Here is a 24,883-nt window from a genome sequence, read left to right as displayed (position 1 = left end):
TAAATATGCCCTTGAGATATTTTCCTTGGTAGCATCCAGCATGAATTGAATGCTTACTATGAAATATTCTGACCAATTTACATTCTTTAACTCCCACAATAGCTCTATGAGGTCGACATTACTCAAATCCTCATTTTATAAGGGAGGACACTGACACACACAGACATGCAGTAACTTGGTCAAGTTCACACTGGTGAACTTGAAAGTGATGGAGCTGCTAGTTGAACCCGTGTAGATTGACTGTAGAACACTGTAATAACTTGAGAGCAAAACTGGTCCAATTTTCTGTTCCTTCCTCTATCTGTGCTTAGAACCCTGTCACCAATATGAGAACTACCTCAGGCTAGCCTGCTGGAAGATAAGAAACAACATGGACCAGAGCCAAGTCATCCTAGCCAAGGCTATCCTAGACCAACCAACACAGCCACATTCTCAGCTGATCACAGATGCATGAGCAAGCCCAGCCAAGATCTGCAGAACCACCCAGAGAAACCCATAGACTCATGAAAAATCATAAATGTTTGTTGTTTAAGCAACTAAGTTTGGGGATGGTTTGTTACATACTAGTAGTTAACTGATACAAACAACCATGCTGGACCACTATACTATATTTTCCTTCAAATGATACTGGCTTCACTTGACTCTAGGATCCTCCAGGAATGGATAGCTCCAGCTGTGAAGAACCTTCCTTTAGACTATCACCTCATTGCTCCTCATCCCTGTCTTACCCCTGCCCCTACCATTATGCCAACCCATAAAGGCAGTTATAATTATTCCTCACCTTTATTCCTTAGTTTTTTCTGGAGTAGAGAGGAAACCAGGGTGCCTCAACTCTAGCACAATTTTGAGCTCTGTTTCCTTGCCTACTTCTTTGCCCATCTCTCCATCATTTAGGAGGTGGGTTGGAATTAGCCACAGTCAGTTGTGCCAAAATAATATACCAGGGTAATGAGAAGAAGGCACAGATAGCGCTGGGAATCAACCCCTCGCACCTTTGGCCTGTCTCTCAGGGTGAGCTTCTTACTCAGTAGTGGTGGGGACCCAAAGTCCCTGAAGGCATGCTCCTGCTTTGTCACCTGATCCCCAAATGAAACCTTGCAAAGCTAAATTCTCCCTGCCTGCCAGGACTCAGGCAGGGGGCAGCAAGCAGTACCTACATAGGACTGAATGGCCCCAGCTGCTCAACTCGAATTTAAAAATAATTTGGCAATGTGTTCCACAGAGTGAAAGCCTTCTGGGGCATTTCTGCCAGATGCCTCCAGCTACTGGGTTCCCACGGAAAGGGAGTGTCAAGTCCTGGGCCCAGAAGATATTCTGGGGATCTGGAACAGGGTACATACTGAAGGCAATCCATTAAAAATGGGATTAGAAATCTCTCAAAGAAAGAAAAAGATACATAAAACATAACTGTTTTTCTATTGGAATATTTTAAAACTTTTTTTTTGCTATTAGGCACTCAATAAATGCTAAATGATGCTAATTCTTCTAGCACTTCTTGCTTTATGAGTGAAGCTTGGATCGTGGGGATTCATTGCTCAAAAGGCCAATAGCTAAGTGACCTGGGTTGGTGAAGAGAAACCAATACTCCCCAGGGCAAATCCAGCCTCACTGTGCCATTAAACACTCAGCACCCCTCACTCATTACACTTCAACAATAGTTTAGTTTTAATTTCTTTCCTTTATATTTCACAGCCCTAAAGGAAAATGTCCTGTGACAATTCTGTAATAGTGAGACAATTACTGGTGACTCAGGGCTCCCTGCTGCCTCTGCATCTCACAGCGGAGGAGCAGGCAGAGACTACTGCTTCCCATATAGGAACAATTTGGTTTGTGAATTAGGAAAGTCAGCATCAAAAGGAATCTTAAAAAAAAAAATGCCTATGTAAGATAAAAATTTAGCCCAAGGATCCTATTTCAGGATGAGAGTCGATTGTAGGCACTGAGTCCCTGAGGAAGCTCTTCAAATAGACACACAAATATTTCAAGCAGTGACTTGCCCATCTGCCCCACTACCCACAGCATCCAGGCAGTCCACAAGGATCCAGACCCTGGGTTCCCAAAAATCTGATTTCTCCTTTTTGTTATCCAAACTCTCTCCGTTTCACCTTTACCGATAAATGAGGAGGAGGCAGTAAACTGATGTGCTCCTTGACAGCAAAAACTCTGTCATCTCTGCAACTCAAGCACCCAACCCAAGCCTGAGTCTGGACGAACAAAGTTTAAGGCGTCCTAGGGTAGAGGACAAGGGCATTCCCAAGTTCCCAGTGGATTGTGCTCCAAAGCTCTTTTGTAAACTGGTAGTTTCGAACTTGGAAAGCATTTTCTTTTTCCATAAGTATAAAGCTCTAGAGGAAGCCTAAGTCCTTAGACTAGGTCATACAGCTCTATTTAGCCACAAAAATCTAATAATGCATCCAAAGTAGAGAACTTCAGCTATTCTATTGCTTCCTCCTAAATAACCATTGAAAATACTGCTTTCATGAGAAAGTGTGTTCCAACTTAGCATGCCAGAAACAGATTTCCATTTTCCTCAAGACCAAGAATGAGCTTTTCCTACTAAAAAAAAAAACAAATAAATAAAAGGGAAGAGAAAAAATAAGAGAAAGGCAAAGGGAGAGAAGGTGTTGGCTATACTAGAAATAGCCCTGACACGGGAGATACAACTTTGCAAGGAAGGTGAGATAAGACAGAAACTTCTGGGTGAGAATAAGATATCCTGAAGTATTTTTCTACTTTTATGTAACATGTATTCCACAATTCTTTAGTTTAAAAACTTGCCTTAAGTGTTCTAAATTAGGAACTAAAAAGCAGTTCCTTTAAGGGGAGTTTGGAGAAGGGAGAGATTTCTGGTTTGCGGGTCATAAATCAATGAGCCAGAGACAGCCTATGTTCACCTAAGACAACACTCTTGATTTCTGTTCTTCCGTTTCTTGGCTGATTCAGTCATGATGCTAATAATATTCTAACTTTCAGGTTGATAATGTCAGCTTAAAATTGGGAGGAGGAAAGATATTGGACTGTAAGCTTCTTAAAGGGCAGGACCACTTTCTATTCATTTCCATATACCCCAGTCCCCTCAGTGCTCAACATATGTAATTCATCAACACATAATATAATTTAAGGAAGGGCTTTAACTTTTCAATGTAGTAGCAAAACATGTGGGCTTTAGAGTCAAACTTCTCAGATTCAAATCATTTTTCCTCCCTGAAAAGGAGGGAAGCAAGCCTGCCTAACATCCTTGAGTTTTCTCATCTGGAAAAAATAGTGGTAACAGTACTTACTTCACAGAGTTGCTGTGGGGATTAAATGCATTTCTGTTTCTAAAACACAGAACACTGTACCTGCCCCACAGTTAGCACTTGACAGATCTTAGCAGCTATTATTTTTCCATGATCATTGAGCTAATTGTCTTGTATCTTGCCCGCAAATTAGTTTCTCAGGGAATGTGGTAAACATAAAAGTTGGTTGGTATAAAGGGTTAAATTGTGAACCCCAAAAGATATGTCTACTCAGAACCTGAGAATGCGACCTCATTTGGAATAAGAATTTTTGCAGATGTAATTAAGGCAAGGATCCCCAGATGAAATTATCCTGAATTAGGATAAGCCCTAAGTCTATGTCCTTATATGAGACCAGAAAAGAAGACCCAAAGACGTGGGAAAGGCGGCCATGTGAAAACGAAGCCAGAGATTGGAATCATACTGCCACAAGCCAAGGAAAAGCTGGAGCCACCAGAAGCTGGCAGAGGCAAAGACGGATTCTTACTTAGAGTCTTCAAAGGGAGTGTGGCCCTGCTGACCCGCTGATGTGGGGCTTCTGACCTCCAGAACTGTGAGAGAATAAATGTCTGTTGCTTTAATCCACCGAGTTTGTGGTCATTCGCTGTAGCAGCCCTAAGAAACAAATACAGCTGGGTCCAGGTGACTTTGGAACAACCTAGATTTAGTGAGGGAAACAAGCCGAAATGCAAATTGGTGATGATCATGAGCTGTCCTTTTTTTGAATTGTGTACTGCAGGGAAATTCTCTTTAGGAAGGGATAATCACCAGCTTCAGGGACTGGAATGTTCAGGCCAGCCTGTGCTGTCCATTTCCAGCCAAAGACATTTCTGCTGAGAATCCTGAAAACATTCTGCATTTTTCCACAAGGAATAAAGTGGAAATATTCAATGTGTGATGAGACAATGGACAGAGTCAGCTCATACCTGGCCCCAAATAAATGGGCAGATGATGCAGCTGTCAGTGACTGACCAGTGAACCCACCCACACTGATGCCCACAGCCTTCCTCACTCCCCTCTATGGAAGTCAAGGGGGTCATTAGCCAAAGACTCAAAGCTAAGGAAAGATACCTGCTTGTCAAGAGACCAACATAATTGTATATTTCCACTAACTCTATTGATTCTTGCAATTATATCTATGAAACGGATCTCTTTTTAAGGGAAAAATATATCCAGGTCATCTTCAAGATCCTTTTAAGCCTTTGGAATTTTAAAGAAGTCCTCAGTAAAGAGTCATGAGAGACAGTTGAATCCACTGATGTTGAGAGAAATGATATTCACTCATTTGCTCTCTTATAACTCCTGGGGAAAAATAGCAGCAGACAGAGCAGTGACAGTCAGAGAGGGGTGACTTTTTTGGAGCAAAGGCGTTAGACGAGATGACACATGCTGACAGGTTCAGCAAATAGTGGATGCTCTGCCAATCAGCAGGTAATTTCTGTGTGTTTGCAAAGTGGGAAAGATTGTGAGTCACGCAGTATTTCAAAGCAGGTCACGATGACCCTGTGTGTGATCTTCTAATGTGAAGGTCAAGAGAAAGGAGAAGGTGGATAAAGGAAGAAAAGGGAAAAGCAAGGAGACCCATGTACAGGCAAATCAACCACATCAAGGCAAGTTGCCACCTATTTCCTGACAATACCCAGGGAACCTTCCTAATTACCTGTTTTATTGACATCTGAGGCTCACAGGTAACCAGCACTTCATTAACTCATAAATCTTTTTTTAACTTGTGAAAGTCACTTCTTCCCTGACTCCATCAAGGTTTTATTTTCTTCCCTTACTGGGTAATTTACTCAATTTATTTCCAGTAAAGAAAGGGTTGCCGGGAAAAGGTCAGTGAGGAAAGCCAGAGGAAGAAGCCACACGCAGTATTCTGGATCCCAACATACCCTGAAAAGGATTTCATTGTTTCACTGACAAGAATTCCAAAGCACTGAAAATAGTCACATTCAAATAGAAAAAAAATTAATTCTGAAGCCAAATGGATTCAAAGGATTTTTGTCATTATTTTTCATTTGCTTTTCTCCACTGAGGGGGCGGAGAGAGAGAGAGAGAGAAAGAGAGACAGACAGACAGACAGGCACTGAACTGAGATCGATTCCAATGAAACACACAGGTAAATAATTTGAATGCCTTTTTAAAATACATAAATGCTTAATTTCTGTACTTTTCATCAAAGAGCTTTTCTGGGGAAAGGATACATTTTTAGCACTAGAAATTAAGTAGCACTCACACAGGATGCACACATTTGGTCAATCCATAACCCTTCAAAGAGAACTGTGCAATTCTAATTGACAGAGTAATTTTAAAGTAAATAACTTGGTGAATATAAACCCAACATATTTTTCCTGGTTTGGGGAAGAAAAAAGCTGTACAATGTACGTAAATATGCTAAGATTTAAAATAAAATAAAATAAAACCTCTTATCATTCTTGTCCAAGAATGTCACGTCAGCCATTAAGGTTGTGACAATGGCAAGTGTTGAACACACATGAGCACACATAATCACACTGAGAATCTGCTGACTGATTATTGCTGACATTGCCTAGTTCAATCTGATTCATCATTTGCACAGGAACCAAGAGACATTAAAAGGGCAGGAGGTTACACTAGGGGGAGAGAAACAAAGCCTTAAACTAAGTTGGGATAAGGATCCTTTTCTAACAATTGCCCAATTCTTGGGATCCACTCTGTCCCGAGGCAGGCAGTAGAGACTTAGTTACTCGTATTCCACATCTGGAGATCTGGAGGCTTCTCCCAAGATGGAAGAGATGAGTGGTGAGAGAATATGAGATTATTAGAAGAAGCTTGGCTGGGCACAGAAGCAAGCTAAGTGGAGTCAATAGAGTGGAAGGGTCTATTTAAACATATACACCCCCCTCCCCCCCGCCAAAAACACACACTCTTTGCTGCCTCACATTTATCACCTTAAGAAATTTTTGAACACCTGGTCTGTATACAAATACATAACAAGAAAGGAAAAAAATATAGATGATCTCTTATCAAAAGTACATATTATTTTGCTAAAGAGAAGCTACACCTTAATCCTGATATTCAGGAAATTATGTTGCCACATTAAATAAATGGTGAGGGGTAAACCATTTGTAAAAAAAAATCAAAGCACACACACAAATCATTCCAGACACCATTTCCCATTTTCTGACTTATTACTATACACAATGCAGCTTTTAGCTCCTGCATTCTTATATCCTTTTGAATGTTCACCAGACTATTAATTTAAAAAGCCAGGTGCTTCGTCTGCTCCTCTAATCGCTGTGACCTGTTTTTGTGATTCGAAAAAGGCAAAAAGACTAACTCTGGCTTGGGTGGGAATCATTTTTGGAATAGTGGTTGGTGGTTGTTCACATCTGGATTAGGTATAAAATGATAAAATTATGATGATGAACATCAGAGAGCCTCATCTGCATATAAATAGACCTAATCAGAAATGCAAATTGCAATCAGGAGAAATTTTTAAAGGCTGTGATAGCTGTGTGATTGTGCAGATAAGGAAAGGTCAACATTTGTATTGTTAAGGCAGTTAAATGGCTCCCAGCCTGCCCAGAGCCTTCCTTTGAAAGAGACATATGGAAGGTACAAATTATCTCTCAATCTGCACCCTGGTTGGGAAGGAGTCCCTGGATAGCTTCATATTCCATAACTAGAGCCGTGAGCTGGCCATACATCAGCCCGATTCCAATGAAAGGCAACCCAACCTCTTGTACAAACCACTAATGAATACACAGAATAGAAAGTATACTTGCATTTAAATGCTCTCCAAACAGACCTCTTTCCGCACAATTTTCCACTGAGACGGAAATTAAGGGATGGAGAGTAAGATATAGCGCTGATGTAACATTTTCTGATACATTTCAATGCTAGTCTGAGTGAATACAGCAATATGATATACATATGTTTTCACTGAATACTAGAGAAAGTATGTAATTAAAAAGAAAACACTAGCATTTAGACAGATTACTTAATCCACAATTCCATTCGTAGTCTTATCGTGCAAAGTACAAAAAATGAGTATCTCAGAAAAAGCTGAGTGCTAAAAATAGGCAATTGTTCCAACATGGTCTTATTATTCCTTGGGGTATGTTATCTTTCAGGAACATCCTCTTCTCTGTCCCCCCCAGCCCCCCTTGCTTTTTCAAAGAAAATATATTTCACAATCAGGCTTTGTCAGGTTTGGAGAGAAATTGCTTGCAAACTATTTATTATCCCTCTAACCAGACGCTTTCACAAAGAACTAATGAGTCAAGAGCGCCATCTTGTGTCTTACCTTGGAATCTTAAAGAGTGTTTTCACAGGATGCATGTCAAAGAGGGGAGGGTCTCCATCCCCCAGTTCAATAGCTGTGATCCCCAAGGACCAGACGTCACAGCGAGCGTCATAGGAAGAGTCATACTGCTGCTCACAGGCAATGACCTATTGGACAAAAGCAGGACATGACACATCAACCCTACTGCCACATCAGATGTCCTAAAAAGGCCCTGGGCTGATCTTAGCCCCGTTCTCAGTTTTCTTGGCCACGATGATATTGAATTCCAGTAATAAGATGTGTGCATTCTAGGCCTTATTTGTGTATAACCAATTTATTATCTTATACGTTCATTAGCTTTTACAAATGTGTCAGTTTTGTTTTTAAAAAGCATGCATTGAACCGTCTAAGTAACAAGAACAGTGCAAGGGGAGGAAGCGGATGTATACCACACCATCCCAACCCTGCTATTCTTTAAGGAAAGGCTTTGTCTACATCCTTCACCTCATTACCAGCTACTGAATTCAATAACAAGCAACAATTGTTCTCAAAGATGCTTGTGTACTTTGAGATGCATGAAATTCCCGCGAGTATAACCAACTAAGCAGAGAGATGTTGGAAGACCCACATGGTTAACATAAAGTAGAAATGACCCCACTCCACCCTTCCCTTTTTCTAAGAGCATCTTTCCCCTCCTCAAACTCCAACAATGGTATGCATCACAGAAACAACTGCCATTCCAGTTACTTGGCCTGACTAGGTACAAGAGCAGCAGAACCAGAAAATGACCCTGGGCTTGTCATTGGGTTGAGGAGTCTGTAACCCTGTGGAGGAATGTTTTTATCAACTTTTTGAGTCAGGCAAGAACATCTCCTACACTCAGACTCTGATGACTATCACAATGGCGATAGGAGAAGTCAGGAGTGAGCCAGAGGATGTGGAGGACCAGGAACTCCTATTTGACCTAAAATCTGCCACCAGGATGACCCATGGCCATGGCCAGGTGGGAGACTTCAATGTCTGATGATCCAAAACATCAGGGAGGGGCAACACCTATAATGGTGAGCACAGGAAGACCAGAGTAATAGAGACACCCTCTTAGGCCATCATAATGTCTTTAGTTTTTTTCATTCCAAATGAAATGAGACTACTGACTGTGGTGAGCAGAGGAGTGACAGATCTAGCTTATGTTTTAGCAAGATCACTCTGGCTACTGTGCAGAGGATAGATTATGAGGAGAAGAAACAAAACCAGTTAAATATGTTACTGCAGGGATCCAGATGAGAGATTGTGAGATGGCGAGAAATAATCAGATTCTAGGTATAATTTTGAATGTACAGCCAACTGGATTTGTTGAACAGGGCTTAGAAGAAAGGAGAGCTAAGGAACACTCCAAAGTTTTTGACATGAGCAACCACCAGAATAGAATTGGTATTTACTAAGATGAGGAAGACAGTAGGAGGGGCAGGTTTGGGGTGAAGAGTGGACCTCCATTTAGGATATATTAAGCCTCAGATGCCTGGGACACTTCGAAATGGAGAAGAGTATTTTAGCCTGGTGAGACTCATACTGGACTTCTGATCTAGAGAATCGTAAGATAACTGCTATGGTCTGAACATGCCTCCCAAAATTCATGTGTTAGAAATTTAATCCCCAGTGCAACCAATGGAAGGTGGATCCTTTTGGGAGGTGGTTAGGTCATGAGAATTCTGCCCTTGTGAATGGATTAATGCTACCATGAAAAGGGCTTGCAGGACTGGGTTTGCTCCCTTCTGCCTTCTGCCATGTGAGGACATAGTATGAAGGCCCACACCAGATGCCAGCACTTTGACCTTAGGCTTCCCAGCCTCTAGAACTGTGAGAAAATAAATTTCTGTTCTTTATAAATTACCCAGTCTCAGATAATCTGTTATAGCAGCATGAAACAGATTAAGACTAAGAAACAGGTGTTTTTTTTTTGTTTTGTTTTGTTTTTTTTTTTTTTTTTGAGACGGAGTCTCACTCTGTCGCCCAGGCTGGAGTGCAGTGGCGGGATCTCGGCTCACTGCAAGCTCCGCCTCCTGGGTTCACGCCATTCTCCTGCCTCAGCCTCCCAAGTAGCTGGGACTACAGGCGCCCGCCACTACGCCCGGCTAATTTTTTGTATTTTTAGTAGAGACGGGGTTTCACCGTTATAGCCGGGATGGTCTCGATCTCCTGACCTCGTGATCCACCCGCCTCGGCCTCCCAAAGTGCTGGGATTACAGGCGTGAGCCACCGCGCCCGGCCAGAAACAGGTGTTTTAAGCCACTAAGTTTGTGGTATTGTTATGGCAGTGATAGAAAACTAGTATTCCTGCTCTCTTCCAGAAACAGTGCATTGGACCTGTAAGGCCTGGCAAAATGTGCCAACTGTGCAAAATGTGCTCTAAACTCTGTGCTCTTGTTCTCATAATTGCCCTGTACTCTTCTCTTCTGAGCTGAAGAACATTTTCTATATATCCACATCCTTGGCCTGGCCCCAGCCCCATCTTCTGAATAGAATATCCTGTCATACTTTTAACACGTTATTTTCAAATGTACATTCAAACTGAAGTTCAAACAATTCCAGTTTCAGAACCAAAGGCCATTTCATTGCCCCCAAAGACCTCCCTTTCCTCACCCCAATCAGGTGAGAACCTACATTATTTTTAAAGATCCCTAGAGAAGGCTATTCAACACCTTCCCTTTCAGAAATGACACTTTCGAAAGTGTAAGACAAACATAATTTTAGACCTATCAATCAACAAATAGTTCACTGTTATTCATGACACTGTGATAGGGCCTGTGAGGGAGAGAGAAATAAGACTCTGTCCTTCCCCAATAGGAGCTATGGCCAATCAAAATATAAGGTGAACCTATCATAATTAAATGACAAACCATGACAACTATAAATGCCCTAAGACAATGTGTACTAACACGTCCAATAAAGGATATGGGCTCTAAATGCTTAAGATTTTAGAAGGAGACCACTGCTGGCTAAGCAAGACAATAAAAAGTATCTAGTACCCATAGTCTAGAACTTTTGCGGAGAAATTCAAATCAGCTTCTAGCCAACTTGGATGGGACACAAAAGGCAATTCTAAGAACATATCTAAATGTGAAAATGGAGATATTCTAACATTTCTCAAGCGTTGTCCTAAAATATTCAAAACTTGTATCTGGTTTCAACTTCTCTTTACAGACAAACATTATCTTCAGCTCATTCTGATGAATAGAAAATCATATCTTGGCCTAATTCTTCTCTTCAGTGCATCATGTAACAAAGAAATTATTTAAGTTCAGCCTTCCAAGGAAGTTTATTGAAAATTATGCTAATAAAATAATTCACAAATAATTATTGAGTACTCATTAGTCTGGCATGATAGTAGGCCCTGGGAAGAGAAAGTCAAATACACACTGAACTTAATCTTCATAATAATTTGGCAAAGTAGGTGCTATTATCACTTATGCAGGTGTGGAAACTGAGGATAGCATGGTTAAACAGCTTACCTGGCATCACATAGCTAGTAATTGTCAGGGCCAGAATTTGAACCCAGGCAGGGAGAAGGATAACTAAATGAATCATTGCCATATAAGTGCTATCTATAATAAAAGTTACAGTTGGTTAAAATTGTTAAAATTATCAGCTTCTGCACTCATATTTTGACTACGCTCAGGTGTTCTGAGGTTTTGTCATTTCAACTCCATCTTCTTTGGGGGTCTCTCATTCAGGATTGCTCCTTACCAGGAGGAAACAGCCCTTTCTGCAGGTTACACATACGATGAGAGTTAAAGAAGCACTCTTAAGAGGATGCAGGGCAACTGAAGGTCAACATCCTGGAATGGGATTCCCTATCAATCCAATACCAAAGTCTGAAGCTATTTCTTTAAGAGAAAACACTACTATCATTCTCTTTAGCTCAACATTCTCCTTGTCTCTAGGTTAAATAGAGCTGAGTTAAGGATGCTTGGATGGTCGAATGGTCTTTCTTCCCTTGTCCCCAGGAGAAGGTGACCTCAAAAAGAACTCTCTGAATCAGTTGTTAGGATGCTCCATTAAGAAAGGAGACTGACGAAGGCAAGTAAGTGCACGTCTTTGGGACCAGGTTTTCCAGGTTCTGTAAGTCACATTAAAGGAGTGGAGAGAAATGAGACGGTGTTGACAAAGGTCCAGGATCCCAAATGCACACCCTTTCACATCTGAAAACAAATCACTTATATTCTCAGGACCTCTCTCTATCTATAAAGTGGTAAGGTGGAAATAAATAACCTATACGATCCCTTCTAGCTCTAATATTCTACGACTTTGCGACTTCCAAGTAAGTGATCTTTGGGTAGTATCTCAAACTGAGAGGCTAACACTGCCATACAAATTAGCTAGAGTGAACAGTACATTATTCTGAGGTGTGAACAGGATGGCTGGAACTTTGAGGGGATTTTGTTGCCAATGTTTTGTAGAAGGTCTTAAGGTCTATGAAAATATGCTGGTTGCTGTAATAATGCCTCTGTTAAGGAAGATGAGCTTCAGCGACAGAGCAATTGTTTGGAAGCTGGTTAATGGAGCATGTCCAGGTTCCTACCTTGAAATGCAAACTTACGGCTCTTCTGGTACAGTTAGACTACACTGCTGCTTATTTTAGGAAGAAGAAAAACACTAATGCTGGATTACTAGCAATATCTATGCACTGGCAGCTTTAGTGCCCAAGGCCAATAGCTATTTTACCTAGCAGTGGGTTGAGACTCCCAAATGTTGGTCATTACCACCTTAGCTGCCAAAAACTTTTCTTTCTGGAGAAGATTGAGAACAAGAAACAAGTTTTCACTAATGGCTTAGCTTGACAGGTCTTTGGAGCAAAGGCTAGTCATTATCTGTCTTCAATTGTTGAGGCAATTCTCTTTAGCCTTCTTCAGGCTAAGGAGTTCACAGATCCAGACTCCTTAAATCTACCCCCAGTCACTCCCTCCTACCCCACAGAGGGAACACCTCCCCTCTCCTGCGGGAATCTATGGGATGAAACCACATGCACAACTGCTTTGACACATATCATCCCCTTGTCTGTCCTTGAGCAGGGTCAGCTGTGTTCTGTTGAAGATGGCTGTTCCTTTCCTTAGCCACCAGCCAGAAAATGGCAGAGAAAAACAACAGTCAGCAGCTCTTGGGTCACGAAGAGACTTTCACCTCTGACTAATGCTAGAAAATCCCAGAGCCTGGCATTTTTGTTTTGGTTTTGCCACCCTCTCACTGGGTGACTTTGACAAAATATTTTATCTCCCTGTACCTCTTCTTTGCAAGCAAACCAAGCAACCCCTTTTTCATGGGCCTCATCCGAAGCACTGCTTATGAAAATGCTGGTTATTCAGCTTTTACTATGGCACTAAAATGTTAATAGTAGATATCACTGGATCACTGACATATGGCTAATAATTATTTTATCTACTTACTTCTTTAAGATCTTTTATGTTTTCTAAAATGTCTATAGAGAGCATGGATTATTTCTATAATAGAAAGAAGCGAATTTTATGTTTTTTTGTCTTGAAAATATAAATAAATATTGAAAAGTTTGCCTTAATTTTCAAGGGCATGTTTCTTTCTTCTGGAGTATTTGTTGACTGCTGGGATTCTTTATCAAGAAGTTGGCAGGTTAAAGGTTGTATCTTGATTATATAACTAGGTCCCTGGCTGGATGTGGTGGCTCACGCCTATAATCCCAGCACTTTGGGAGGCCAAGGTAGGCAGATCACGAGGTCAGGAGTTAGAGACCAGCCTGACCAACATGGTGAAACCCCGTCTCTACTAAAAAAAAAAAAAAAAAAAAAAAAAATTAGCCAGGCGTGGTGGCACATGCCTGTGATCCCAGCTACTCCGGAGGCTGAGGCAAGAGAATTGCTTGAACATGGGAGGCGGAGGTTGCAGTGAGCCAAGATCACTCCACTGCACTCCAGCCTGGGTAACAGAGCAAGACTCTGTCTCGAAAAAAAAAAAACAAAAAAAAAAACTAGGTCCCCATGAGATTAATACCAGAAGAATGAAGCATAATTATTCATGTAGTATAATCGATAAATGTTATTGAACATAAGGCTTTCTAAAATAGAACTTCTCTGGAATCAGAAGTTGTAGTTACAGTATAACTATTCCAGTGGCAGATTTTTTTTAATCAGTTTTACAAATGAAATTCCCTTCCCAACTATATCCCTTTCTACTGTAAGCACAGGGCATGAGTAGAGTACTTTCACTTTCTCGGGCCATCATGATCCATGACTAGGACTTATTGATAAAGTTACCAAGATAGGAGTGAGTTCCACCCTCTCTTGCACAAAGACTTGGTGTATAAGAACCTGAGCTTACAGCTTCTCATCTCAAGATCTTCATTATCCAGAAAGATCATCTGTATTATACTATATGTGAAAGGGATAAAAACAGTCAATATATGAGCTTCTAGATTCAGAAAACCTAGTTTCTCTAATAAAATAGTTAAACCATTTATCGAATTTTATGTCAGAGAGCTGCTGGGCTGAAATTTCTTCCAATAATGTAATTTTAAGCAATGTTTTCAAGCAAATAGTATTATAGTATTTTTGCTGTCATAAGAAATAATTTATCAAACTTAAACAACAGGTATTATTCAGACTAATTTTCCACTAATATTTTTAAATGTCATTAAAAATGTAATTAGGTTTGCCTTCTATGTTCTGATTTCTCACCTTACTAGAATCATTCATGCAATCCAAAATTATAACCAAAGGTCAGGATTAAAATTTCACTCAAGTACACAGGCAAAATGCTGTTATCTCAAGAGCTACATTCAGCTAAATAAGAGGCAAGGCAAACAGACCTAAAGCTATTAATCCTTGGCTGACCTTGAGCCCAAAAATGCAGGCAATAGACTGGCAAATAAGATGGGCTGAGAGGTAGGAAGGCAAATAGGATTCTTAATTTGCTTACACAATTCATGCAGCATAATTGATAAATGTTATTGATCATAAAGATTTCCAAGTCAGAACTTCTCTGGAATCAGAAATTGTGGTTACAGTATAAATATTCCAGTGGCAAATATTTTTATCACTTTTACAAATGAACATCTTAAAGTGTTATAAGCTGAGATACTGAATAAACAAATGAAGTTTCTTACCTATGATGATACATAATTTCAAGAGAGGATACATTTGAGATTCGTTGTTTTTTTTTTTTTTTTTTTTTGTAAAGGGAATATGGACTAGATGAACTGAAATTGAAGTATTTGGCAGGGGGATGGTCTTTCATAAAACTAAAACTAGAGCTAAGATTAAATCCACATTTTGTACACTATGAAATTGTCAGAAATAATTTAAATTAGACTGTTCTTATGAACTTCAGGAAGGTCTCTAATTATAATGTGATGTTCTATGGGTCTCTTTTTTCCCAGGATTGTAAGTTTCAGCTTAAGTCTACAGAGAAATAAAGCCAGGTTCAAATTAAAAACACTCAAAGCACGCTTACACTACACCAGCTTCCCACCATAGCTAGTGGAGGGTAGAAGAGGAACTCACTCTGGGTTTGAGGTCAGCCCACACACTGATTTTTGCACCTAAATTCCCTGAAGCCCTGGGAACAGATCATTTATTCTTACTTGTGTGTTAAGTCCCGTTCTCAGACTCAGGACCAATATCTACAGAACTCCTAGCATGTCCAAATTTCGTATGTGTCCTTGGTACTCAAAAAGTGAAGGAGCACATTTGCTTGGAGACCCAGTGCAATCCCACTGTCCTTGCCTGTTCCAGAGCTTCCTCATACAGAGATGGACAATGAAAGGACCTTTAAGATTCACTCATTCAACCCCCTTCTTTTACAGAAGAGAAAACTGAGGGCCTGAGGGGAGAGTCAGTTGATTTGTCTGAAATCACACAGTTGGTTCATGACCAAAGCAGGAGCAAACTCCATGGTTACCTACCACCTTCCTGAGTGAGGCATCTCTTGGGAATCCTTATAATTATGGAGAATGCTGAGCCACTTCCAAACAGAGTCCATATTCAGAGAGCCGCAGTCACAGTAACATCTACGCTATGAACCCATAGGCACAGCACGCAAGCATTAAGCAGATGGATTTCCTGCCGCCTCTCACTTCCCTGTCCCTTCACTCTCCCTTGCTGCCCCTTTCTTTTGCCAGTTAGTGCTCCATTTCCACCAGAGTATGTTAAGGACAAGGAGAACCTCTACAATTCAGTCCATTTTACAGCTTGTCAGGTCACGTATTATTACACCAAGTCAGGAAACAGATTCAGAAAGTTAAGAGATATATGCGCTCAAGGCCACAGCTAGTAGGGGATAGAACTGAAGGAGAGCACCCAATCAGAAACTATTGAGGAAAAAAATGTTTTTCTCCTTCATGACACATCTGAAAAACAGGAAGGGAAGCAAATCAATCAGAGTATCTGAAAGTTCCCACTTGGACATACCCCTTCATCGGCAAGTATCTGTGGTTTCTGTCCTCACCCAGGCTGACAGCACCATGCAAATAAGGATGTCCTTGAGAATGTCATATGTTCCTGTTAGAGAGTGATTCTGTTTAGCTCTCTAAAATTAAAAAAGGTATGGGAGGCCGGGCACTGTGGCTCATGCCTGTCATCTCAGCACTTTGAGAGGCCAAAACAGGTGGATCACTTGAGCCCAGGAGTTCAAGACCAGCCTGGGCAACATGATGGAACCCTGTCTCTACTAAAAATACAAAAATTAGCGGGGCGTGGTGGCACATGCCTATAATCCCAGCTACTAGAGAGGCTAAGGCACAAGAATCGCTTGAGACCTGGAGGTGGAGGTCGCAGTGAGCCAAAATCACACCACCACACTCCAGCCTGGATGACAGAGCAAGACCCTGTACCCCCCCACTTCCCCTCACAAAAAAGTATGAGAAATACCCGGGACATAATAGAGCACAAGAAACACTAGTCCATCTGCCTCTACTTGTTCCTATTTCATCCTACTCAAGGCTCCTCTGAGGTCCCATCCCTCATGCTGACTGCTCTCCCCCATTTGCTCTCATGGTGGCTCAGTGGCCATCAGGCAAGGAAGCAAATGTAGAGTTTGGCTTGGGTGGGAATTCTCTTTCATGGGCTGAGACTGTACCCAGAACAGGGCAGTGGAGGCACTGACTGGAGGTCAGTCATGGGTAATTTGGGACCCAGAGCTCAGGAAGAGCTGAGGCCAACTCTGACATTCCTTCAGCAAACACTTCTGTTCCTGCAGTAACAGAATCAGTTTTTCCTCTTTTCCTCTTTGGTGGATGAAGAGAAGGGGCAACAGCAGATGCTTTGACCCTTCTCACCTCCCCAGAGAGGAGTGAGGACAGCCTTAAAAATTCCAAATGCTCCTGGTAGTTGTTCCTTTGACATTTCTGGCTTAGCACTTCTCACTCAGCACTCGGAGGGGATGTGAGGCCTCTGCTCTGGGCCTCACATGCTTCTGCACATCTGGGATCTAAAGCCCTCAGATAGGGTCTTATATTTAGACCCACCAGGAAGAGGGTAATAACATATCACCACCTCCTCCAGAATCAGCCCCCCGCCTCCACACTGACATATGACACATGACTCAACCTCCCCACAGAGCTCCAGCTGAGAGGGAACTATCGCTGGAGCTGAGGTGAAAACCTGGGGCTGCATCCAGTCATTTCCACCCCTTGCACCTTGGGCCGTTTGCCTGCTGGAACACTGAGCGTCTGGGTTGTGCCTCAGGGCCTTAGAAGACAGAACCACTCTGCAAATGTAGGCAGGCCAGGGCCAGCCTCAGAACCAGAGAAGGAATCTGTTTCTTTGAGCCTGACACACAATGCCTGGGGTGAACCAGGCAACAGCAAAAGGTTACGGAATCTCAGAGATGAATGTCTCTGGAGAAGGTAGGCAGGTCTTTCAGCCAATGATCTGAAGTTCTAAACCTCTCATTTAACTCTCCTGAGCTCCCAAAGCCTGCATTCCTCACAGTGATATGACCGGCAGACAGGGTCCCATGAATCTCCAGTCTTTTAACAGAGCCAGGTAAAATGGAACCTAGCAGCCACGGCATCAACATTAGTTCACTCTTACTGGGAACTTGGTGAGATCCCACCCTCATTGCTTGTGGAACATCAGAGCCATGGAATATGAGAACTGAAAGCAGGTCTTCCCTCTAAAAACAGTAAATGTTCCCTGTAAAATAGACAGGACCTTAAAAGGCAAAGACTACCTAAGCCAATTTCTTCTTTTTTACAGATGAGAACAGGCTAAGCAGAGGTAGGCATAGGGGCAACATATGCCACCACTGTTAGAAGCCCCTATTGCGTCTGGCACTGCCCTGAACAGTTGCAGTACATTATTTCATTTTATCTTTTCAGGCAGGTTTTTTTCTCCCCATTTTACCTCTTTTAACTTCTCCCCATTTTACTAGTCAGAAATATTAAGTAACTTGCCTGAGGTTACTGGTTATATGGGTAGCAGGTATCTATGATTTGCTCCCAAATCTATCTGACTCTAAAATTTGTGCTTTTTTATTCAAACTGAAGCCATATTAAAATAACTGAACCACAATCATTTTCTAGAAAATGAGTGGCAGAGCCAAGAGTAAAATGTAAATCTCCTAAATTCAATTCTAAAGAACTTTATTTTATTTTTTCCATATCCTTCTCTTGGGCATTAATTACACTGGCTTTTAGCATCAGATTGAAATATTACATTTTCCTTCATATATTAGGAAGGATAATTCTCATCTATGTTAAGAATTGGGGGAAAAAACAATTCATGACTTATCTGGTACACTGGTTGTCACAATTAAATAATTTGCTGTGGTATAGTGGTTAAAAGTAAGGACTTTGGAGACAAATATCTGGGTTCAAACTCTGGTGGCATCACCTAATAACTTGTCCAAGGACAAGAATAATTACTTTCTGTGACTCATCTACTTCACCTAAAACATTGGACTAGCAATAGCACCCCCTTTTTGGTAGTGTTGTAAGATTTATAAATGAGTTAATACACACAACTCACTTAGCACCTAACACATAGTAAGCACTCGCTAAACGCTAGCTCTTATTTGGGAACCAAACCCATTAGCTAGAGCTTAGGGAACAAAATGGTAATAATGACAATAATAATAATTCAACTCTATAGTGTTGTATGTCTTTCTCAGCCCTTTGACACAAAATATCTCATTTGTCATCTCTAGCCCTGGCAATGCCAAAGGAAATAGCATTATCGTATCATTTACTAGGAATGGCATAATTAACAAAGGCAAGAGTGGCTGCAAAAAGCTTGCGATATTTCTGCATTAGTGTAAGCTAGTTGTTATGGCAACCGTCCCTTGTCAACGACCCTTTGCCAGGCAGAGAGAGACCCATTTTTGGAGCCGTCACAGCACATCTGTTTCTCTGCTCAGCTGATTAGCTCTTGTTTGCAACAATGAGCAGATGGAAGTAAAGAGGGGGAGAATTTTCTGAAAAGAAGCAAATGTTTATTTTATCCACAAGTCTGTTTTCCAGTACAGAAACAGACCGTTAGCTGTTTTAGGAAGATGCTGCATATACTAGATCCTTAATGCATGGCGGAATTGCAAAGTGTAGTCAACCTATAAATTATAGGTGATAGGTCCTTCATGTGCATCTTTTAAAATGATGTCTCACACTCCAATTTCAGAGTATACTTCCACTATATCTCTGCGTGTCTTTGTTATATGAGCTGGTGTCTCAGTTAGCTGGTACACATTTTCCACAATGAATATCCCATATGAACACACTGTAAAGTGAGAGTACAAGTATCCTTTCCCTGCCTTGGTTTCTTCATCTGCAAAATGGGACTTGCATTCCCATGCTCTCTGAAAAGCCAAACAGCTTCAATATTTACTAGGTATGTGAATTTGGGCTCGATTCCTCCTATAGCTCTTTAAGCCTCACTTTCCTCAGTGATCAAATGGAGAAAATAACATCCACTATTGAGAGCTGTTGTGAAAATGAAATAAAATATTTTAAAAGCCCCTATCATAGTCCCTGGTATAGAGTCAGTCCTCAGTAAGTGAAAGTTTCCTTCCCACTATGCCTCTGCTTAGCAAGTGCAATGTTCAAAATATCTGACAATCAGGTGGCATGTGGCACTGGCCATCCCTGCTTGTCAAACAGACCTTTCCCCCCATAGTTACTGGATCATCAGGTCAGAAATGTCCCAGGGTAAAAGACAGGGCACCTCTGGTGGCTGAGGAGCACTCAAGGGGCTCTGGATGGCAGCCATTTACCATCCAGAATGAATAGTTTAATATCTTAACAACCAGCCTGGCCACACAGTGTACATCAGCTAAATATAAGCCATTATTTTCAAAGTCTACTGGTGTCCTCAATAAAAACGATAATGACAACATTGGTTCTTTCTCTTGGGTTTCAGTCACTTACAAACACTGAGTTTAATTCTTTGCTATATGTGATGGTAGAAAAAGTTTTTTAGGTATCAACTACCCCTAACCCCCTGCCATTACCATTAATCAACATAAACTAGGCTTGTATCCCTTTTGCTATAGGCCAGGATATTACCTGGCATGTGTTTGATATAAAAATTGGTTGAGCAATATTAACAGCGGACACGGGTTACATTGGAAATCCCTTAGTTGAATAAGTCACAAAATATGGATTCCAGTCACCATTACCCACCTACCCACTCTGTGTCTATGGACACTTGGCCTGACAAAGCCTTAGATTCTTTATCTACAACATCAATGTAATCATGCCCGAGTGGCACTCTCACAGGTAGATGACAGTGTTTTTAAAATACTATTTGTAAAAATTCTACGCAAATGTGGGATACTATTATTCATATTACTTACTATAAGAAATTGGCTGTCAGGAGATAGTGGAGGAGAAAAGAGATAATAAACATGGCTAATAGGAAGACTGTGTTGTTTTTGTGAGTTTTTTTAAGTGCATAAAATGCAGGCTAAAGTTTTAGGTCAGGAGACCAGAGAGGCTTAATCAGGTAAAGAGAAGGTTCAAGGAAGTGACTATGAGCTGGCCAAACATCTCAGGAGATAATAATAATTTTAAAAATGCTTTGCCTGAGAGTAGGTAGGAGAGAACAAAAGTCTGGGGGTGTTGGGCGCCCACACAGGAAGGCAATTTGGTATGCTTTGTACCTTCAGAAAGAACCACGTTTGCCTCAAACACCAAAGGCTGAGAGAGTGCAGACAGTCTATGTGTGTGGTGTGTGTGGAGTAGGGGAGGTGGTTGTGTATGTGTGTGTAAACAGGCAAAGCTGAGCCTCTCACTATGCTAGCATCTATAACCTGCAGCCCTGCAGGTTCTAAATAGTTGACTAATTACCTTGGAAACTTGAATGATTTAATACAAAGGAAGGGTGCTAAATATTAGTATTTGGGAGCTTGTTATTGGTTGAACTGTGTCCTCCAAAAAAAAGATACATTTAAGTCCTAGCCCCCAGAATCTCAGAACGTGAACTTATTTGGAAATAGGGTCACTGTATATACAATTAGTTGAATTCAGATGAGGTCATACTGGAGTAGGGTGGGCCTCTAATCCGACGGGACTGGTGTTCTTATAAGAAGTCATGGACATGTGAAGACACACAGAGAAAATACCACGGCACTACAAAGGCAGAGACTGGAGTTACGCAGCTTGCAAGCCAGGGAACACCAAAGATCACCAGCAAACCTCCAGTAGCTGGGAAGAGACAAAGCAAGATCCCTCCCCTAGAGGCTTCAGAGGAAGCCTGCTGGCATCTTGGTTTCAGATTTCTAGCCTCCAGAAGTGTGAGATAATATATTTCTGTTGTTTAAAGCTACCCAGTTTGTACTACTTGATTACAGCAGACCGGGAAAATAAATATAGGGTGGAAAAGTCTTCAACCCCAAGAGAGGAGGAAAACCCACTTTAACTTCTCGCTGTTTGGTTGCACCATGAGTGCCTTCACCTGTGGCTATTGGCATGTTGGAGCCACTACTGCCCCTCAGATATTCACAGGCACTGTTGTCATAACTGCCCTAAAGTCAGTCCCAGAACAATGAAGCCATGCAGCTTGCAGCAGTCATAGCCAGGGAGATTTAAAAATCGGAAGTTTTCATGACTCTATTATTATGAGCTGCTAAATCAACAAACTCCGGAACAAACTACCTCTGATCTTATTATACGAGAAACTTAATTATCTATTGTTCAAGTTATTTTGCTCATGATAATCTCCTAAATAGTCTCCATGTGAAATTTTTCTTTCTCTCTTAAGATAATCTTTCCTGTAGTCACAGTATGCTACTCACATACAGTGTGTTTAGTTTATAAAAAATTGTTCTGATCTTAAGCCAGGCATGTTGGGGCATGCCCTGTAGTCCCAGCTACTCGGGAGGCTGAAGCAGAAGGAATGCTTGAGCTTAGGAGTTGGAGACCAGCCTGGGCAACATGGTAAGACCCCATCTTTTAAAAAAAAATTCTACTGATCTTGACTTTTAGATTAACCCTTTTATTATGCCAAGCAATTTATTTCCCCAGTAGTATTGTTTCAAAGTTCTAATACACTAAGGGCATCCCACAGAACTCTTCTCCTACACTGCTGAGTTGATACTACTCTGCCAGTATCTTTCAACTTTAGTAGTGTCCAAATGAGGTAGTAAGAGAAAATGAGTAGGGAGTATTGACAATATGATAGTCATTTCATGCTGCAGCTTTGAGGTGCCCCAGTGAACTGTGTGTCTTGACTGCTCATCAACATTTGATTGTACTGTGGTCACATTCCATTAGCTACCCGGTTTGTAGAATAGCTACCTGAATTAAATATTACACTTACTCAAGCTTGTGGAATAAAAATGGAAATAAAAAAGGGAAAAAACAATTTGGTTCAATTCCTCAAAAATAAAATAGGATCAAGGATCTCTCAGCTGCATTTTAAAAATAAAGCACAAGTCATCTGCAATGCTCTTATTCCACTGGCATTGGTATTGCGTGCATTGTCGTATTTAATCTAAAGACCACTTATTCATACAAGCAGAAGTGAAAGCATATCAGGATCAATATACCACACAGGCCATCATATGAAGACAGTGTTAATTTGAACCATTACTGATTATACTTTCAAGGACTGTTCTTGACCCAAAGCATTGCTCAGATGGACAATATAAATGCTTGTTGAATTGAATTGAAAAATGGAAGGTTGTTCTTGTGGACATTCCTATGGAGGATTATGGCGCAAAAAGAGACTTTGTTGGAAAAAATGCTTCTCCATTTAGAAAATAAAAATGTGAGAATAGTGCAGGCCTGATTCCCAAGAGCTACAGCCTGGGTCCCAGAGCATACTGGACACAATCACACATCCTGAGAGAATCCTGCACTTGAACAGTCAGACATTCACTCCTGCAACGTGCTGTCAAGGTGTCCATACCTTAAACTGCTTACTTTTCAATTGATCCACTGCAACAGGCAGGATGCAGTGCTGGCTTTTCCCAGCTAACAGGGGAACCACTTCCAGGGAATCTGAGCAAAAAGCTCACCATAAACTGTCCCCTACAGAAACACTCCATTTTTTTTTTTTTTTTTTTTTTTTTTGAGACGGAATCTGGCTCTGTCGCCCAGGCTGGAGTGCAGTGGTGCAATCTTGGCTCACTGCAAGCTCTGCCTCCCGGGTTCACGCCACTCTCCTGCCTCAGCCTCCCGAGTAGCTGGGACTACAGGCCCCTGCCATCCTGCCAGGCTAATTTTTGTATTTTTAGTAGAGATGGGGTTTCACCGTGTTAGCCAGGATGGTCTCGATCTCCTGACCTTGTGATTCGCCTGCCTCCGCCTTCCAAAGTGCTGGGATTACAGGCGTGAGCCACCGCTCCCGGTCAACACTCCACATATTTTATTCAATCCAGTTAAAGTTGGAAAGTCAGAAACACCTCTTTTTTGATTGTTTTGTTTTGTTTTGTTTTGTTTTTGAGACGGAGTCTCACTCTGTCTCCCAGGCTGGAGTGCAGTGGCACAATCTCGGCTCACTGCAAGCTCCGCCTTCCGGGTTCACGCCATTCTTCTTGCTCAGCCTCCTGAGTAGCTGGGACTACAGGCACCCGCCACCATGCCCAGCTAATTTTTTGTATTTTTAGTAGAGACAGGGTTTCACTGTGTTAGCCAGGATGGTCTCGATCTCCTGACCTCGTGATCTGCCCACCTTGGCCTCCCAAAGTGCTGGGATTACAGGTATGAGCCACCACACCCGGCCACAAACACCTCTTAATAAATGTACAAAGCCATTTATACATAAATGTACAAAGCCAAGAAAATGCTTCTCTTAATTATATTTTGTGATTTTGAAAATACCAATTTGCTCTAGAGTAGAACAGGAATACCATCTTCCGTGTTATATCACCCCAAATATTAGTTGAGTGACCTTAGTTATGCTTTCCTTTCAGAACAGATCTAAATCTACAGACAAATTTGCTAATATCAATAGTTGTGAAGCCGTCCTCAAACTGTCCTGCAAGTGCATCTTATCCCTTTGGCTTTCTTACAGATGGATGCATTCATTCATTCAACAGATTTTTTTTTTTTTTGAGAGACAGAGTCTAACTCTGTCACCCAGGCTGAAGTGCAGTGGTGGCATCTCTGCTCACTGCAACCTCTGCCTCCCGGGTTCAAACAATTCTCCTGCCTCAACCTCCAGAGTAGCTGGAATTACAGGTGTGTACTACCACACCCAGCTAATTTTTGTATTTTTAGTAGAGATGGGGTTTTGCCATGTTGGACAGGCTGGTCTCAAACTCCTGATCTCAAATGATCTGCCTGCGTCGGCCTCCCAAAGTGCTGGGATTACAGGCATGAGCCACCGCTCCTGACCCAACAGATAATTTTTTTGAGCATGTACTCTGTATCAAGCACTATATTAAGAGCTTAGGCATCCCAAGTCCCTGGCAGACCTGAGTCCAGTTGGGAGACCTGCCTGCCAACAACTACAATGCAGTGGTGATACTGTATTAAGGGAGGGTCTAAGGACGTGGTGGAAACTTAGGGAAAGGAGCCTCAATGTGGGCAAGGGATTAGGGAATGTTTCCCAGCAGAGCTAGCATTTGAGACTTGTCAATTAAGGAGGAATTTTCCAGAGGCCTGGGGGCCATTCCAGATGATATAATAGTACACCAAGGGTTTAAAGGAAAGACACATCAGTAGGGATTTGGAGAGTCACCTGCTGTTCACTACTGTTGGGGCATTAAGAACAAGTAAATTGGGGGAAGTAATCTGAAACAAGGCTGGATAGATAGGGGCTGGAATATTAAGAGCTTTATTCAAAATTCAAAGAAGTTTTGACTTTATCCTGCAGTGCTTCTCAAAGTGGGATTCACAAAGTCCCTAGATAACTTTTTATGTTTTTGGTTTTGTTTCAGT

General features: G+C 41.5%; 1 protein-coding gene across 8 annotated transcripts in view, besides 4 other annotated features; it reads right to left on the bottom strand.

Moving 5' to 3' along the window:
• MYO3B (myosin IIIB) overlaps window positions 1-24,883 on the bottom strand; it is a 477,021-nt gene that overhangs the window by 411,468 nt on the left and 40,670 nt on the right. For all 8 annotated transcript variants that reach the window (NR_045682.2, NR_045683.2, NR_045684.2 and 5 more), the window contains exon 7: window positions 7,564-7,709. Coding sequence is in view for 5 of the 8 variants with exons in the window: in NM_138995.5 (NP_620482.3) it covers window positions 7,564-7,709 (146 nt within the window). In the remaining 3 variants the exon portion in view is untranslated. The remainder of the gene's footprint in view (window positions 1-7,563; window positions 7,710-24,883) is intronic.
• Window positions 5,687-5,981: a silencer, noted in NCBI's record as "tiled region #12880; K562 Repressive DNase matched - State 8:EnhW". NCBI's record gives its function as "represses a minimal TATA promoter and a strong SV40 promoter by Sharpr-MPRA in K562 cells {active_cell/tissue: K562}" and the evidence as "EXISTENCE:reporter gene assay evidence [ECO:0000049][PMID:27701403]".
• Window positions 21,412-21,912: an enhancer, noted in NCBI's record as "H3K27ac hESC enhancer chr2:171078298-171078798 (GRCh37/hg19 assembly coordinates)". NCBI's record gives its function as "activates a minimal SCP1, AML or CMV promoter by ChIP-STARR-seq in primed H9 embryonic stem cells {active_cell/tissue: H9 hESC(primed)}" and the evidence as "EXISTENCE:reporter gene assay evidence [ECO:0000049][PMID:30033119]".
• Window positions 21,412-22,707: a biological region, named in NCBI's record as "MED14-independent group 3 enhancer GRCh37_chr2:171077503-171078702".
• Window positions 21,508-22,707: an enhancer, noted in NCBI's record as "MED14-independent group 3 enhancer chr2:171077503-171078702 (GRCh37/hg19 assembly coordinates)". NCBI's record gives its function as "activates an origin of replication core promoter dependent on BRD2, BRD4, P300/CBP and CDK7 cofactors, and independent of MED14, by STARR-seq in HCT116 cells {active_cell/tissue: HCT116}" and the evidence as "EXISTENCE:reporter gene assay evidence [ECO:0000049][PMID:35650434]".

Source organism: Homo sapiens, chromosome 2, assembly GCF_000001405.40.
Source record: "Homo sapiens chromosome 2, GRCh38.p14 Primary Assembly".
NCBI lineage: Eukaryota > Metazoa > Chordata > Mammalia > Primates > Hominidae > Homo > Homo sapiens.
The sequence above is the reverse complement of the archived record's forward strand: the minus strand, read 5'-3'. Positions and strand labels throughout refer to the sequence as shown.